Source organism: Homo sapiens, chromosome 1 (assembly GCF_000001405.40).
Source record: "Homo sapiens chromosome 1, GRCh38.p14 Primary Assembly".
Taxonomy (NCBI): domain Eukaryota; kingdom Metazoa; phylum Chordata; class Mammalia; order Primates; family Hominidae; genus Homo; species Homo sapiens.
In genome coordinates this window covers 13,170,477-13,185,174 of record NC_000001.11, presented here as the reverse complement: position 1 = coordinate 13,185,174, position 14,698 = coordinate 13,170,477, and the positions used below count along the sequence as shown (strand labels likewise).

General features: G+C 46.8%; 1 protein-coding gene across 1 annotated transcript; it reads right to left on the bottom strand.

Annotated features, from left to right (window-relative positions):
* Positions 1-5,715: 5,715 nt before the first annotated feature.
* PRAMEF9 (PRAME family member 9) lies at positions 5,716-13,327 on the bottom strand. Its single transcript, NM_001010890.3, has 4 exons — positions 12,643-13,327; positions 9,602-9,910; positions 8,353-8,934; positions 5,716-6,604 (listed from the first exon to the last, which is right to left on the bottom strand). Exons 2-4 carry the CDS (start codon positions 9,892-9,894, stop codon positions 6,043-6,045), a joined length of 1,437 nt encoding a protein of 478 aa, NP_001010890.2. The 5' UTR covers positions 9,895-9,910; positions 12,643-13,327; the 3' UTR covers positions 5,716-6,042.
* Between the last annotated feature and the right edge of the window lie 1,371 nt (positions 13,328-14,698).

Sequence of the window (14,698 nt, the reverse complement as noted above, 5' to 3'; positions counted from 1 at the left end):
TGGTGAACAACAAATGTTGCTGCCCGATCATTCCTGTGGAAGTTTTGTCTCAGAGGAGTACCTGGCCATGTGAGGTGCCAGTCTGCCCCTGCTGGTGGGTGCCTCCCAGTTAGGCTACTTAGGGGTCACAGACCCACTTGAGGAGTCAGTCTGTCCATTCTCAGATCTCCAGCTGCGTGCTGGGAGAACCACTACTCTCTTCAAAGCTGTCAGACAGGGACATTTAAGTCTACAGAGGATTCTGCTGCCTTTTGTTTGGCAATGCCCTGCCCCCAGAAATGGAGTCTGTGGAGGCAGGCAGGCCTCCTTGAGCTGCAGTGGGCTCCACCCAGTTCCAGCTTCCTGGCTGCTTTGTTTACCTACTCAAGCCTCAACAATGGCAGGCGCCCCTCCCCCAGCCTTGCTGCCGCCTTGCAGTTTGATCTCAGACTGCTGTGCTAGCAATGAGTGAGGCTCCGTGGGCATAGGACCTTTTGAGCCAGACACGGGATATAATCTCCTGGTGTGCCATTTGCTAAGACTGTTGGAAAAGCGCAGTATTAGGGTGGGAGTGACCGGATTTTACAGGTGCCATCTGTCACCCCTTTCTTTGACTAGGAAAGGGAATTCCCTGACTCCTTGCACTTCCCAGGAGAGGCAATGCCTCATGCTGCTTTGGCTCATGCTCGGTGCACTGCACCCACTGTCCTACACCCACTTTCTGACACTCCCCAGTGAGAAGAACCTGGTACCTCAGTTGGAAGTGCAGAAATCACCCGTCTTCTGCACCGCTCAGGCTGGGAGCTGTAGACTGGAGCTGTTCCTATTCGGCCATCTTGGCTCAACCCCCTAGTTAATTTTTGTGTCTTTAATAGAGACAGGGTTTCATCATATTGGCCAGAGTCGTCTTGAACTCCTGACTGAAGTGATCCACCCACCTCAGTCTCTGCAAGTGCTGGGATTACAGATGTGAGCCACTGTGCCTGGTCAATTGCTGGACGTTCATGATACACCTGGAGTATCCACAGTATCACAAGGGCCATTTTTTTCCATAATCCAATTTATTTATATTATTGGTAGTGAGCTAATGTTGATGTCCCCAAGGTAGCAATTTAGTGACTATATCCATGATAAACGTTTCCATGCATCACGTGGTCAACAGCATTTGCTACCAAGTGCCACGTTCCATGCTCAGCAGTGGGAACACAGGATGATGGAGACAAAGTTCCTGACCTTTAGCAGCAATATCGAACAAGTGAGATTGTCAAGAAAGAAGAAATAATTGTAAAACATACCATACCCCTACAATTCCATAATCATGCTCCTGGATATTTAATGAAGTGAGTAAACCCACACCTGGATGTTTACAGCAACTTACTCATAATCGCCAAAACTTGGAAGCTAGCAAGTTGCCCTTCGGTCAGTGACTGGATAAGCAAACTGATCTATCCAGTCAGTGAACTATTATAAAGCTGTAAAAAGACATGAAAAATTCCTAAATGCACGTTATTGTACAAGTGAAAGAAGGCAATCTGAAAAGACTCATCCTGTTAGACATTCCAGAAAAAGCTTTTGCATTTTTCTAAGGAGACAGTAGAAAGCCCAGTGGATGCAAGGGGTTGGGAGCACAATGGGATGAATGGGAAGAGGACAGAGGAATTTTAGGGAAAGAAAACTACTCTCCATGATGCTCTAATGGTGGATACATGTCATTATCCCTTTGTTAAAATCCATAGAATGTACAAAACCAGCAATGATCCCTCATGTGAACTATGGACATTGGGTGATAATGATGTGTCCCTGTGGCTCATTGGTTGTGATGAATGCTCTGTGCTGGTGTGGGTGCTGATCCTGTGGGGGTGCTGTGTATTGAAGGGGGAAGAAGGTAGATGAGAACTCTGCAGTTTCTGCTTAGTTTTTCTGTGAATCTAAAACTGCTGTAAAGGAAAAAATAGGCTGGGTGTGGTGGCTCACGTCTATAGTCATAGCATTTTGGGAAGCCGAGGCAGGTGGATCACCTGAGGTCAGGGGTTCCAGACCAGCCTAGCTAAAATGACAAAACCCTGTCTCTACTAAAAAAAATAATAATAATAATAATACAAAAATTAATCAGGTGTGGTGTTGCATGCCTGTAATCCCAGCTACTCTGGAGGCTGAGACAGGAGCATTGCTGGGACCCTGGAGGCAGAAGTTGCAGTGAACAGAGATCGTACCTCTGCACTCCAGCACGGATGACAGAAGGAGACTCCATCTCCAAAATAAATAAATAAATAAACTCAAGGCTGGGTGCGGTGGCTCATGCCTATAAGAGCTCACTCCCAGCAATTTAGGAGGCCGAGGCAGGTGGATCGCTTGAGCCCAGAATTTCAAGACCAGTCTGGGCAACATGGTGAAGCCTGGTCTTCACTAAGAATACAAAAATAAGTCAGGCATGATGGTGCATGCCTGTTGTTCCAGCTACTAGGGGGACTGAGGCAGGGAGATCACCTGAGCCTAGGAGGTCAAGGCTGCAGTAAGCCGTGATCATGCCACTGCACTCCAATCTGGACAACAGAGTGAGACTTTGTCTCCAAATAAAATAAAATAAAATAAAATAAAATAAACTCAATATTTTTTAAAACTGTAATGTTTCCTTTCAAAGCTAAAATTGTATTATTCTAAATATATTTTAAAGAAGAAATGATTATTGTTCAGTGTCTTTAAAATTAGTTTTTAAAATCTCATTTGTTTTGACATTTCAAACCAAGTTAAGTATTCTTTTTCTCACCCTCCTTGAGACGGAGTCTTCCTCTTTCACCCAGGCTGGAGTGCAGTGGTGCATTCTTGGCTCACTGCAACCTTTGCCTCGCAGGTTCAAGCGATTCTCTTGCCTCAGCCTCCTGACTATCTGGGATTACAGGCACCTGTCACCACGCCAGGCTAATTTTTTGTATTTTTCGTAGAGACGGGGTTTCATCATGTTGGCCAGGCTGGTCTGGAACTCCTGACCTCGTGATCTGCCCACCTCGGCCTCCCAAAGTGCCAGGAATACAGGCATGAACCACCACACCTGGCCATTAACCATTCTTGAAATATCACGTTGCATTCTTTAAAAGTTCTAATCTTTCATATACATAAATTACAACACAAATATTTATACTCTAATAGTATTCACATTATAGTAAATTTTTTTTCATGCTCTGTCGCCCAGGCTGGAGTGAAGTGGTGCAATCTCGTCTCATTGCAACCCTCACCTCCCGGGTTCAAGTGATTGTCCTGCCTCAGCCTCCTGAATACCTGGGATTACAGGCGAATGCCACCACTCCCAGCAAATTTTGTGTATTTTTAGTAGAGATGGGGTTTCACCATGTTGGCAAGGCTGGTCTCAAAATCCTGAGGCTGCCTTGGCCTCCCAAAGTGCTGGGATTAGAAGTGTGAGACACCATGCCCGGCCATAATAATAAATCTTATTTTATCTTTTTTTTTTGAGATGGAGTTTTGCTAGGGTTGCCCAGGCTGGAGTGCAATGGCTCAGTCTGAGCTCACCGCAACCTCCACCTCCAGGTTCAAATGATTCTCCCGCCTCAGCCTATCGAGTAGCTGCAATTACAGACGTGCGCCACCACGCCTGGCTAATTTTTTGTATTTTAAGTAGAGAAGGGGTTTCTTCATGTTGCTCAGGCTGGTCTCAAACTCCCAACCTCAGGTGATCCACCTGCCTCAGCCTCCCAAAGTGCTGGAATTACAGGTATGACTCACTGCACCTGGCTCATAATAGTACATTTTTGAAAACACCATAAAATATAATCCTTGCAACACTCAATTATACCATCTGGTCGGATCTATCAGCAGATGGCACCCGAGACATACGGATTGGAAATTTTGATCTTATTATGAATGAATCCAGTCCAGAAATGCCCACCTTGCCCCCTGCTGGCTCCTGGGGCTCTGCTCTTTGGGGGAATCATGATGAAATTGTGGCAGAGAGTAGAAGTTGAGCCCCATTGCATGCCCTGAGTTCTTGTTGCCTCTCTATTATCAGGAAAAGGAGGTGAGATTGAAAGATGAAAAGTGCTGGGACTTCTGCTGAGAAGAGAAAAAAGAACAAGATGTATTGATCTTACTGTATGCCAGACCCCATGCCAAGCCCTAAACATGAACCATCTCATTGGATCCTACCAAGGTCCCATAAGCTGTTGGACATCATCATCCTCATTTTACAGGAAGCTGAGGCTCTAGGCTAACATCCCTGACAGCAACACCAGCCCCTGAGTACTCAGCAGGATCCTTCACTTGGGTGCCCATTATGCAGAATTCCTCAGCACAGGGAAGGTCACTCATCACCCACAGGCCCTTGATCGTTATCCACCCTTTGATGCTGTCAGATTCCAGAACACGCTGCACTAGTACTAGTCTCTTCCTTCATAGGGAGAGAGGGGAGGTGTTATGAGAAAATCTCTCATCAATCTGACCTAGCTCCCCAAAAAGATGTAACTTTTAAAATGTCAGATGGAAATATTTAAAAAGTGTTACATGCCTGTATAGTTTTAGTATTTTACTTAAAGGGAATGTGGCTGTCTTTACTGGCTACAACCAGTTTAATTCAAGAAGGGCTGCTGGTCATCAGGAGAACAAGCAAGGGTTGATGCTGCCCAGAGTCTCCAGCTAATACACAATATGGACATCCCCTTCCAGGGCAGTGGGAAGAGAGTGGCTCCTTGTGCAGTGAAGCTGACATCCACCAAATAAGGCTTCTGGAAGCATGTGGAGACTCACAGGGAGTGGGCAGGGTCTCAGCATCTGGCTAGCAGTGAAAGACCCTGAGAAGAAGGTGCTTTCCACGTGGATTGGCTCACTGTTCTTGCCCAGTAATGTTCCAGGCCTTTGGTGTCCACCTAGTGTGTATTAACCCACTGAACAGCCACAGAAACTAACAAGGAGTTAACAGACATCTAAAGAAGTGAAGAACTAGAGGAGGCCAACCCAAGCGTGGTGGTCCACGCCTATACTCCCTGCATTTTGGGAGGCCAAGACAGGAGAATCACAAGCTCAGGAGTTCCAGATCAGCCTGGGGAAGACAGCGAGGCCTTGTCTCTACTAAAAAGAAGTATCCAGGTGTGGTGGCTCACACAGCTGTAGTCCTAGCTACTCAGGAGGCTGAGGTGGGAGGATCACTTGAACCCAGGAAATTTAGGTTGCAGTGAGGTATGATTGTGCCACTGCACTGTAGCCTGAGTGACAGGAGACCTTTAAAAAACAAAAACCAAAAAAAAGCCTGACACAGTGGCTCACACCTGTAACCCCAGCACTTTGGTAGGCCTACTTGCTTGAATCACCCAAAGTCAGGAGTTTGAGACCAGCCTGACCAACATAGTGAGGAAACCCTGTCTCTACTAAACATACACAAATTAGCTGGGCATGGTGGTGCATGCTTGTAATCCCAGCTACTTGGGAGGCTGAGGCAGAAGAATCATTTAAACCCCAGGTGGAGGTTGCAGTCAGCTCAGATGGCACCATTGCACTCTAAACTCCAGCCTGGGCAACAAGAGTGAAACTCTGTCTCCAATAAAAGAATGGGAGGAAAGTGATTACAATAACCAAATTTCATTTAAATGCCTTGATTTTCTTGGGCTGCATCTTATTGATTGGACAACTCAGTCAGTGCCTTTTGTTTTTTCCATCAATAACTGAAGATTCCTGAGGCTTAAACTGGAAAACAGGTTACTTAATAATAGAGGGCACCAGACAGATTCTGCTCAGTTTTCCTTTATTTCTGATTGTTTCTTTACAACCATCCATGCAAGAGTAACTCCCTCATGTATTCTCAAGCCTGAATTCCACTCTAGACATTCAGATTCCCATTTTCGACTCTACAGGATACAGGTCCCCAAAGTCCCATCGAATCCATGGCAACATTTCCCCCAAGTCCTGCCCCTGCTTGATCAGCTTTCCTTTCCCACTTTCAGAGCCTATGTGTGAAATGATGGGTTCTGTGCTCCCTTTAGGATGTACCTAAGACCTAGGTTTTAGTTTCCAAGTGTCCAGAAGAAAGCGTTTGACATACCCATCCAAATAGGCAGGCATTCAACAGCAGTATTGATCTGCCTCCAGGTCATAAAATGACCTGTTGCCACAGTCAGGGCAGTTGTCAATACAGAAAAAGATCCTCTTGGGGTGCCTTAAGTCCCTCACTCTGTTCATCAGCTCAGCCCTAATTTGAGCAAATCTGCTCCAGCAGAGAGTACCATCAGCACCATAACTCTCCCGCGGGGCAGGATACACCTCCACGCATAAGTTTTTGAGTATGATTGTGTGGCTCAGCAGGTTCTCCAGGGTGGCCATGGAGATGGGATTTCCACAGAAGCTGAAGGCATTGAGCTCAAAGCAGCGGCTCAGGGCAGGCAGGATGGCGTTGACTTGGGAGTCTATGATGCCACAGTCATCTAAATCCAAGTACTCAAGGGTGGCTGCAACTTTTTCTAGGAGAATTTGGAGAGGCACAAGACTGTAATTGGTCAGTCTGATGCCACTCAGGTCCAGGGTCTTTAGTTGACTGATACTCGGGCACTGGGATAGATGCTTCAAGTCTGATTCCAAAAGCACACAGTTAGTTATTGTGAGGACCTTTAACGAGGTCTTCAGACAGCTGGGGAGAGAGAGCAAGAAGTTAATTCTGGGGAATCATAGGGGTGAGTGGAGGGTGGTGGGGAATGGCTTCATGGTAATGGATGGAGACCATTTTGCCCAAGTCCAGGGTCATTCTGATGGCCTGATGGTCAACACTTAGGATGATGTGTGATGAAGAGCTTTGCCACCGAGGTCAATTCCACCTTAGAGCCGGCCCAGTAACTCACACCTGTAATCCCAGAACTTTGGGAGGCTGAGACTGGTGGATTCCTTGAGATCAGGAGTTTGAGACCAGCCTGCTGAACATGGCAAAACCTCGTCTCTACTAAAAATCCAAAAATTAGCCAGGTGTGGTGGGGGGAGCCTGCAATTCCAGCTACTTGGGAAGCTGAGGCAGAAGAATCGTTTGAACCCAGGAGGTGTAGGTTGCAGTGAGCAGAGATCATGCCACTACACTCCAGCCTGGGTGACAGAGAGAGACTCTGTATTAAAAAAAAAGAAGGAAAAAAAATAATTCCATTTGAGGCTGAGTCATTTCACCATCATTTATAGGAATGGATCAAGTTCACAGAATCCCTAAAGCTCCCTTTCCTCATCTGTCAGGCAGAAAACCACATCCCTGGGCCACAGAAGCCCAGTGGAGATTCAGGCATAAAGGACAAACCCAGACAGGATCCTGCAACATCAGCTGGGGTGGGCGGGCTGTAGGCGTCCCTGCCATGCCTGTATCATCAGCAAACCATCTATCACTTTCACCATTCTTTGTGCCTGCTCCCTGACCCTCTGTTTCAGAATCATGCATTGCTTAGGTAATTAATTTACCTGGAGCTCAAAACACTTTTACAACAGGGAATTAGAGATGGGATCATTCATGTTCACCAAACTATGGGGCACAAAGCTGATTTTCTGACATGTGCAGGTTTGCTGAGCATTCCCCTCTTCAGTGCCCACTTCACTTCCCTACTTTACATCATCTGCTTAAAAATTATCTTGTTGGCTGGGCGTGGTAGCTCTCGCCTATAATCCCAGCACTTTGGGAGTCCAAGGTGGGCGGATCACCTGAAGTCAGGAGTTGGAGAATATCCTGGCCAACATGGTGAAACCCTGTCTCTACTTAAAATATAAAAATTAGCCAGGTGTGCTGACTCATGCCTGTAATCCCAGGCACTCAAGAGGCTGAGGCAGGAGAATCGCTTGAACCTGGGAGGCAGAAGTTGCTGCGAGCTGAGATGTCACAAGTGCACTTTACCCTGGATGATCAAAGTGAAAATTCATCTCAGAAAAAAAAAAAGTTATCTTGTTTGTTTTTACTTTTATTTCTTCACTTCTGACAGGGGTCTTGGGATGTTACCCAGACTGGTCTTAAACTCCTAGGCTCAAGCTATCCTCTTGCCTCAGACTCCCAAAGTGATAGGATTACAGGCATGAGCCACCGTCCCTGGCCTATTTTTCATCATCTTAACTTAGACACACGTCCTCAGGAAGAATTCAGAAAGGCACCCTCACTAGATCTGAACCCCCCAGTAGCTAGCTTCCTAGTATGACAACCTCTCTATAGCATCTCCCCTAGCTGATCCCGCTGCCTCTATTGGGATGGTTGCATGATACCCATTTCAGGACAGGGCCGCCAACAGGACAATGTATGGACATTCTAGTGTCCCCTTCACTGTTTCATCCTCATAGGCTGGCTCACAGTAGATGCCCACTAGCGTTTAGTGAAACAGGCTCTGCTGTGGTCTGCAGAGAAAGCTCACCACCCTCCCTCACCTGAGCAGCTGGTCCAGGTGGCCTTCGAGGAAAGAAACAGAGTTCATATAAAGCTTTTGGAGGCAGTGCAGCTTGAGGAACTGAGTGGTGAACTGGGTAACAATCTCCTTCTTCTGCTCTGGGGAAACGTAGCGAGAGACATCCATGTGGGAGAGAACGAGCTTCTGAAGATTCCTCATGTGGCCCAGGTATGGGGTAAACTGTGTCAGGATGGGCAGTACCCACTTGCAATTCACTTCCACCTCCTGGATACAGTCTAGGTTCACCATTTTCAGGATGCTTCTGATATTGCGGAAGGGCATTCCCAAAATTTTCAGCTTCTTACAGCACAGGTGTAGTAAATCTTTCCTCTGCTTGACCCATAGAAGGAGGTAGGTGAGGTATTCATCCAGAGTCCTGTTCTTGAGCCAAAGTTCTACGAACACAGTCAAGGGCTGCTGTCCTCTCATCCTTGGACAGTCCTGCACTGGTGTTTTGTTCCTCTTGGCATTGAGGAAGGACCCACGGGCCATAGCTTCAGACCAAACCATCCAGAAGTTCTCACAGACATCCTGTAAATCCAGCACTTGAAGTTTCCACCTCCTGTGGGAAAATAGAGGTGAGACTGAGAATTTAAGAACTCATTTCTGAATTTAAACTCCACATCCTGGATAGCAGCTCCTCCCCTCCCTGCTTCTTGTCCCTCTCTCTGACTTTTCTTCACTCTGTTTTCCCCTTGGATCCTACCCACTTCCACATTTTTTTGTTTTTTTTTTTGAGACCAAGTCTCCCTCTGTCGCCCAGGCTAGAGTGCAGTGGTGTGATGTCACCTCACTGCAACCTCTGCTTCCTGGGTTCAAATGATTCTCCTGCCTCAACCTCACAAGTAGCTGGGATTACAGGAGCCCACCACCATGCCCAGCTAATTTTAGTATTTTTAGTAGAGTTGGGGTTTACCATGTTGGACAGGCTGGCCTCCAACTCTTGACCTCAGCCTCCCAATGTGCTGGGATTACATTGTGAGCCACCGTGCCCGGCCCAGTTCTCACTTTTCATGGTGCCTTTCAGTGCCATTAGAGGAGAGGTTCCTGTTACCTCCATGGACCTTGCGTGGTGAGCAGTGCTTTCCCTGAGGAGCTGGTGAATGGCCAAGTCCTCTCGGCTTCCTCACCACCACCATCCCCCTTGGGCCTCCTCACTTCACATGACCCAGCTGTTCCTTCAGTTGGACACCTGGGCCCTCCCCACCAGCCCACCTGGGCCACCTCACCTGGGACAAACCCCTTGGGTAAGCAGTGCATCCAGCCCATCGAGCACAGCTTGGAAGGCCTCCAGACAAGGCATCTTTATCAGAGGCCTCAGAGGGAGGCGGCGGAAGGGCCAGGCCTGCACCATCAGCTTCAGGGCCTCACAGCGTCTCCTGCTGAAGGCCTCCATGAACAGTGGGGGGAAAAGTTCTGTGGGCAGCTCCTCCAGGGTGGACATGGCCAAGGCTTGGTCCCTCAGCAGGCTCCGCCCCGCCAGCTCCAGGAGTCTGGGTGGAGTCCGGATGCTCATCTTCATGAATCTGCAGGGAAAACTTCCAGAGGACAAACCCAGAGAAAAGGCATCACTCTCAGGCCAAGCCCATGCAATCTCATCTTCTCCTATGGCCAAACTCACTGCTCTGGCAATGGTGAAACAGCCCTCAGTTTACTCCAATTCTACTCTGTACTCAGTGGCCATTAAGCCAGCATTCTGCCTCTGCTGCATCAGCATGAGCGTCTCCGAAGCAGTGAGGAAGCAGGGTCACCACGAGCCCTTCCTTTCTATCCAGTGCTCCATCCAGTGACTAGTGAGTGTGGAGGAACCTGAAAGTGAACCCCTCCTACCATTGGGGGAAATTACTGATTACTCAAGGTTCTAAAACAATGGGAATGGGAGTGTCACAAGCCTACATGCCCACATTTTCAGTTCCTACAAATAAGTTTGTTGGGAACATTCATGGGACATCCCTAGAACAGGTTCTATTTGTTTTCTTTTCATTATTTAAGCTTGCTTTCTCTTTCTCTCTCTTTCTTCTTTCCTTCTTTCCCTCTCTCCCTCCCTTCTTTCTTTCTTTCCCCCTCTCTCTCCCTTCTTTCTTTCTTGTCTTCTTTCCCTGCATCCCTTCTCTCATTCTCTCTCTCTTTCTCTCTCTCCCTCTCTCACTCTTTCTGACAGGGTCTTGCTCTGTCACCCAGCCTGGAGTGTAGTGGTGGGATCTCAGCTCAGTGCAGCCTTGACCTCCCAGCTCAAAGGATTCTTCCCCCTCAGCCTCCCAAGTAGCTGGGACCACAGTTATGCATCACCACACCCAGCTCATCTTTTATGTTTTGACTTTTTGTAAAGACAGTGGATTTCGCTATGTTGTCCAAGCTGGTCTTGAACTCCTAGTCTCAAGCAATCTACCCCTCTTGGCCTCCCAACATACTGGGATTATAGGTGTGAGCCTCTGCCCCAGCCTCGTTATTGAAAATTTCAGTGAGAAGCTTTGAAAGCTATGTGACACTGTTATGCATCATTCTCAAGATAGATGTTTCCAATGCACACCTCTTACACATATTCAAACTGAACCACTTTGGCTGGGTGCAGTGACTCACACCTGTAATCTGAGCATTTTGTGAGGCCGAGGCAGGTGGATCATCTGAGATCAGGAGTTCAAGACGAGCCTGGCCAACATGGTAAAACCCTGCCTCTACTAAGACAGCAAAAATTAGCCAGGTGCAGTGGTCTGCGCCTGTAGTCCAAGCTACTAGGGAGGCTGAGGTAGGAGGATCACTTGAACCCAGGAGGCAGAAGTTGCAGTGAGCTGACATTATACTACTCCACTCCAGCCTGGGGAATAGGCTAGATTGAACTGAGAGACAGAGAGAGCTACATTTGACTAGACTTCTTAATCTCTACCCAGTTAATCCTTATTGGATTTTTGGCTTTCTTAAAGAATAACTGATCGAATTAGATATTAATCCATCAAAATGAAAGATTTAGGGATAGGGTGAAAGTCCAGGACTCATTCACCGATTCCCTTCACAAACATGGACTTCCACTAATATGTGTCCTTCAAAGTCCTGAGTGTGAGACAGGGAAGGGTTGAATCTCTTCCTGATATTAGACAGAAAGAAAGAAAACTTGAAAGTATCTTTGTTGAGGGATCCTTGGCCACATCAAATTTATCAAAATATTTCAGAGTTAAAACAGTTTTCAAAGACAGAGATGACAGTCCCTAAGAAAACACAATAGAAATCTTCATGTATCCGATGATCACCTGGGTCATATAATTTTTTTTGGTGCTGAGGGAGCTGAGTCTCACTTCGTCGCCCAGGCTGGAGTGCAGTGGCACCATCTTGGCTCACTGTTACCTCCAAGATTGCCTCCAAGATTCAAGCAATTCGCATGCTTCAGCCTTCCACGTAGCTGGGACTACAGGCAGGCACCCCCCACAGCCATGTCTCCATTTGGGTGGAAGAGGATGTGATTGGTTTAAAATTAAGGTCAAAGATCCTTTTTGATTGATTTTGTTTTTGGACAGAGTGTCTCTCTTTTGCCCAGGCTGGAGTACAGCAGTGGTGTGAGCATGGCTCACTGCAGCCTGAATCTTCTGGACTCAAGTGATTCTCCCACACCAGCCACCCAAATAGCTGGGACTACAGATGCATGGTGACTCACAGCTGTAATCCCAGCACTTTGGGAGGCCAAGGCAGGTGGATCACTTGAGGTCAGGTGTTCGAGACCAACCTGGCCAGCGTGGTGAAACCCCACCTCTACTAAAAATACAAAAATTAGCCAGGCATGGTTTCAGATGTCTGTGACACCAGCTTCTGAGGATGGAGACTGAGGCATGAGAATTGCTTGAACCCAGGAGTTAAAGGTTGCAGGGAGTTGAGATCGTGCCACTGCACTCCAGTCTGGGCAACACAGTGAGACTCCATCCCCACCCTCAAAAAAAACGTTGTGTAGAGGAGGGTTTTTGTCATGTTGCCCAGGTTGGTCTCAAACCCCTGGGCTGAAATGATCCTCCCACTTTGGCCTCCCAAAGTGTTGGGGTTAAAGGCATGAGTCACTGCTCCCTTCAAGAATTTTAAAATGGCATCAACCAAAGCACAATCAACTTTTTTGAAATAAAGACAGAACTGCATTTAGAGGAAAACATTCAAAGCTTCAAATTGTTCATATATATATATAAAAAAGGACAGGATATAGCTCTCTGCCATCTTAGGCTGCACTGTCACCATCCCAGACTGACTGACTGTAGGTCAGATGGGAGTGTCCTTACAGAAATTAGTGACTTACCAGATCTGGATGTAGTTTAGAAGGTGCTCAGACCTCAGGAAGAACCAAGCAGGAACTCCAGGCTTGAAGACTTTGGGTCTCTCCTGTGGGTCTTTAGAAGCTTTTATTGACCTTTCTAATCATAACTCCCACCCACGCCCCTCCACGTATCCGCTGCTAGCTTCCAATCAAAAAATGATATCTGATTGCATTTGTGAAGCTCCACTCCACCCAGGTAATCCTGATTGGGTTTTTGGCTCTCCCCAGATTAATGGATTGAATCAGATGTCCATTCATATCACATATCTATATTCACTTCACGAAGCAAGAAATTGACAGTGTTAGGGATAGGGTAGAAGTCAAGAATACATTCATTCAAGGCCAGACGAAGTGGCTCACACCTGTAATCCCAGCACTGTGGGAGGCAGAGGCAGGTGGATTATCTGAGGTCAGGAGTTTGAGACAAGCCTGGCCAACATGGTAAAACCCTACCTCTACTAAAATTACAAAAATTAGCCAGTTGCGGTGGTCTGCGCCTATAGTCCAGGCTACTAGGGAGGCTGAGACAGGAGGATCCCTTGAACCCAGGAGGCAGAGGTTGCAGTGAGCTGACAATACACCACTGAACTCCAGCCTGGGAAATAGGCTAGATTTAAAAAAAAAAAAAAAAAAAAAGAAAAAGAAAAAAGAGAGAGAGAGAACTACATTTGATTCCACTTCTACCGAGTTAATCCTGATTGGATTTTTGGCTTTCTTCCAGATTTACTGATGCAATTAGATATTCATCCATCAAAGTGAAAGATTTAGGGATAGGGTGTAAGTCCAGGACTCATTCACTGATTCCCTTCACAAACATGGGGTTTTACTAATATGTGTCCTTCACAGTCCTGAGTGTGAGATAGGGAAGGGTTGAATCTCTTCCTGATATTAGACAGAAAGAAAAAACTTGAAAGTATCTTTGTTGAGGGATCCTCGGCCACATCAAATTTATCAAAATATTTCAGAGTTAAAACAGTTTTCAAAGACAGAGTTGACAGTCCCCAAGAACACACAATAGAAATCCTCATGTATCCAATGATCACCTGGGTGGTATAATCTAATTGTTTTTGGTGTGGGGGAAGCTGAGTCTCACTTTGTCGCCCAGGCTGGAGTGCAGCGGCGCCATCTCAGCTCACTGTAACCTCCACCTCTGAGATTCAAGCAATTCTCATGCTTCAGCCTTCCACGTAGCTGGGATTACAGGCATGCACCCCCACACCCATGTCTCCATTCGGGTGGAAGAATTACAGTGAGGACGTGATTGGTTTAAAATTAAGGTCATAGATTCTTTTTGGTTAAGATATTGTTTTTGTTTTTTGGACAGGGTCTCTCTCTTTTGCCCAGGCTGGAGTACAGCAGTGGTGTGAGCATGGCTCACTGCAGCCTCAATCTTCTGGGCTCAAGTGATTCTCCCACACCAGCCACCCAAATAGCTGGGACTACAGATGCATGTCACCATGCTCGGCTAATTAAAATAAAAAAAAGTAGAGGCCAAGCACCAGTGACTCACAGCTGTAATCCCAGCACTTTGGGAGGCCAAGGCAGGTGGATCACTTGAGGTCAGGTGTTCGAGACAAACCTGGCCAGCGTGGTGAAACCCCACCTCTACTAAAAATACAAAAATTAGCCAGGCATGGTTTCAGATGTCTGTGACACCAGCTTCTGAGGATGGAGACTGAGGCATGAGAATTGCTTGAACCCGGGAGGTAAAGGTTGCAGTGAGTTGAGATCGTGCCACTGCACTCCAGTCTGGGCAACACAGTGAGACTCCATCCCCACCCTCAAAAAAAAAACGTTGTGTAGAGGAGGGTTTTTGTCATGTTGCCCAGGTTGGTCTCAAACCCCTGGGCTGAAATGATCCTCCCACTTTGGCCTCCCAAAGTGTTGGGGTTAAAGGCATAAGTCACGGCTCCCTTCAAGAATTTTGAAATGACCTAAACCAAAGCACAATCAACTTTTTTGAAATAAAGACAGAACTGCATTTAGAGGAAAAAATTCAAAGCCTCCAATTGTTCATATGAAAAAAAAAAAGGACAGG

Bases quoted from the DNA above. Each gene is read 5' to 3' on its own strand.
- PRAMEF9 (NM_001010890.3), bottom strand. From the start codon at position 9,894: ATGAAGATGAGCATCCGGACTCCACCCAGACTCCTGGAGCTGGCGGGG. The intron at 8,935-9,601 runs GTGAGGTGGCCC...ATTTTCCCACAG, and splicing joins ACCCAAGGGGTTTGTCCCAG to GAGGTGGAAACTTCAAGTGC. The intron at 6,605-8,352 runs GTGAGGGAGGGT...CTCTCTCCCCAG, and splicing joins CACCTGGACCAGCTGCTCAG to CTGTCTGAAGACCTCGTTAA.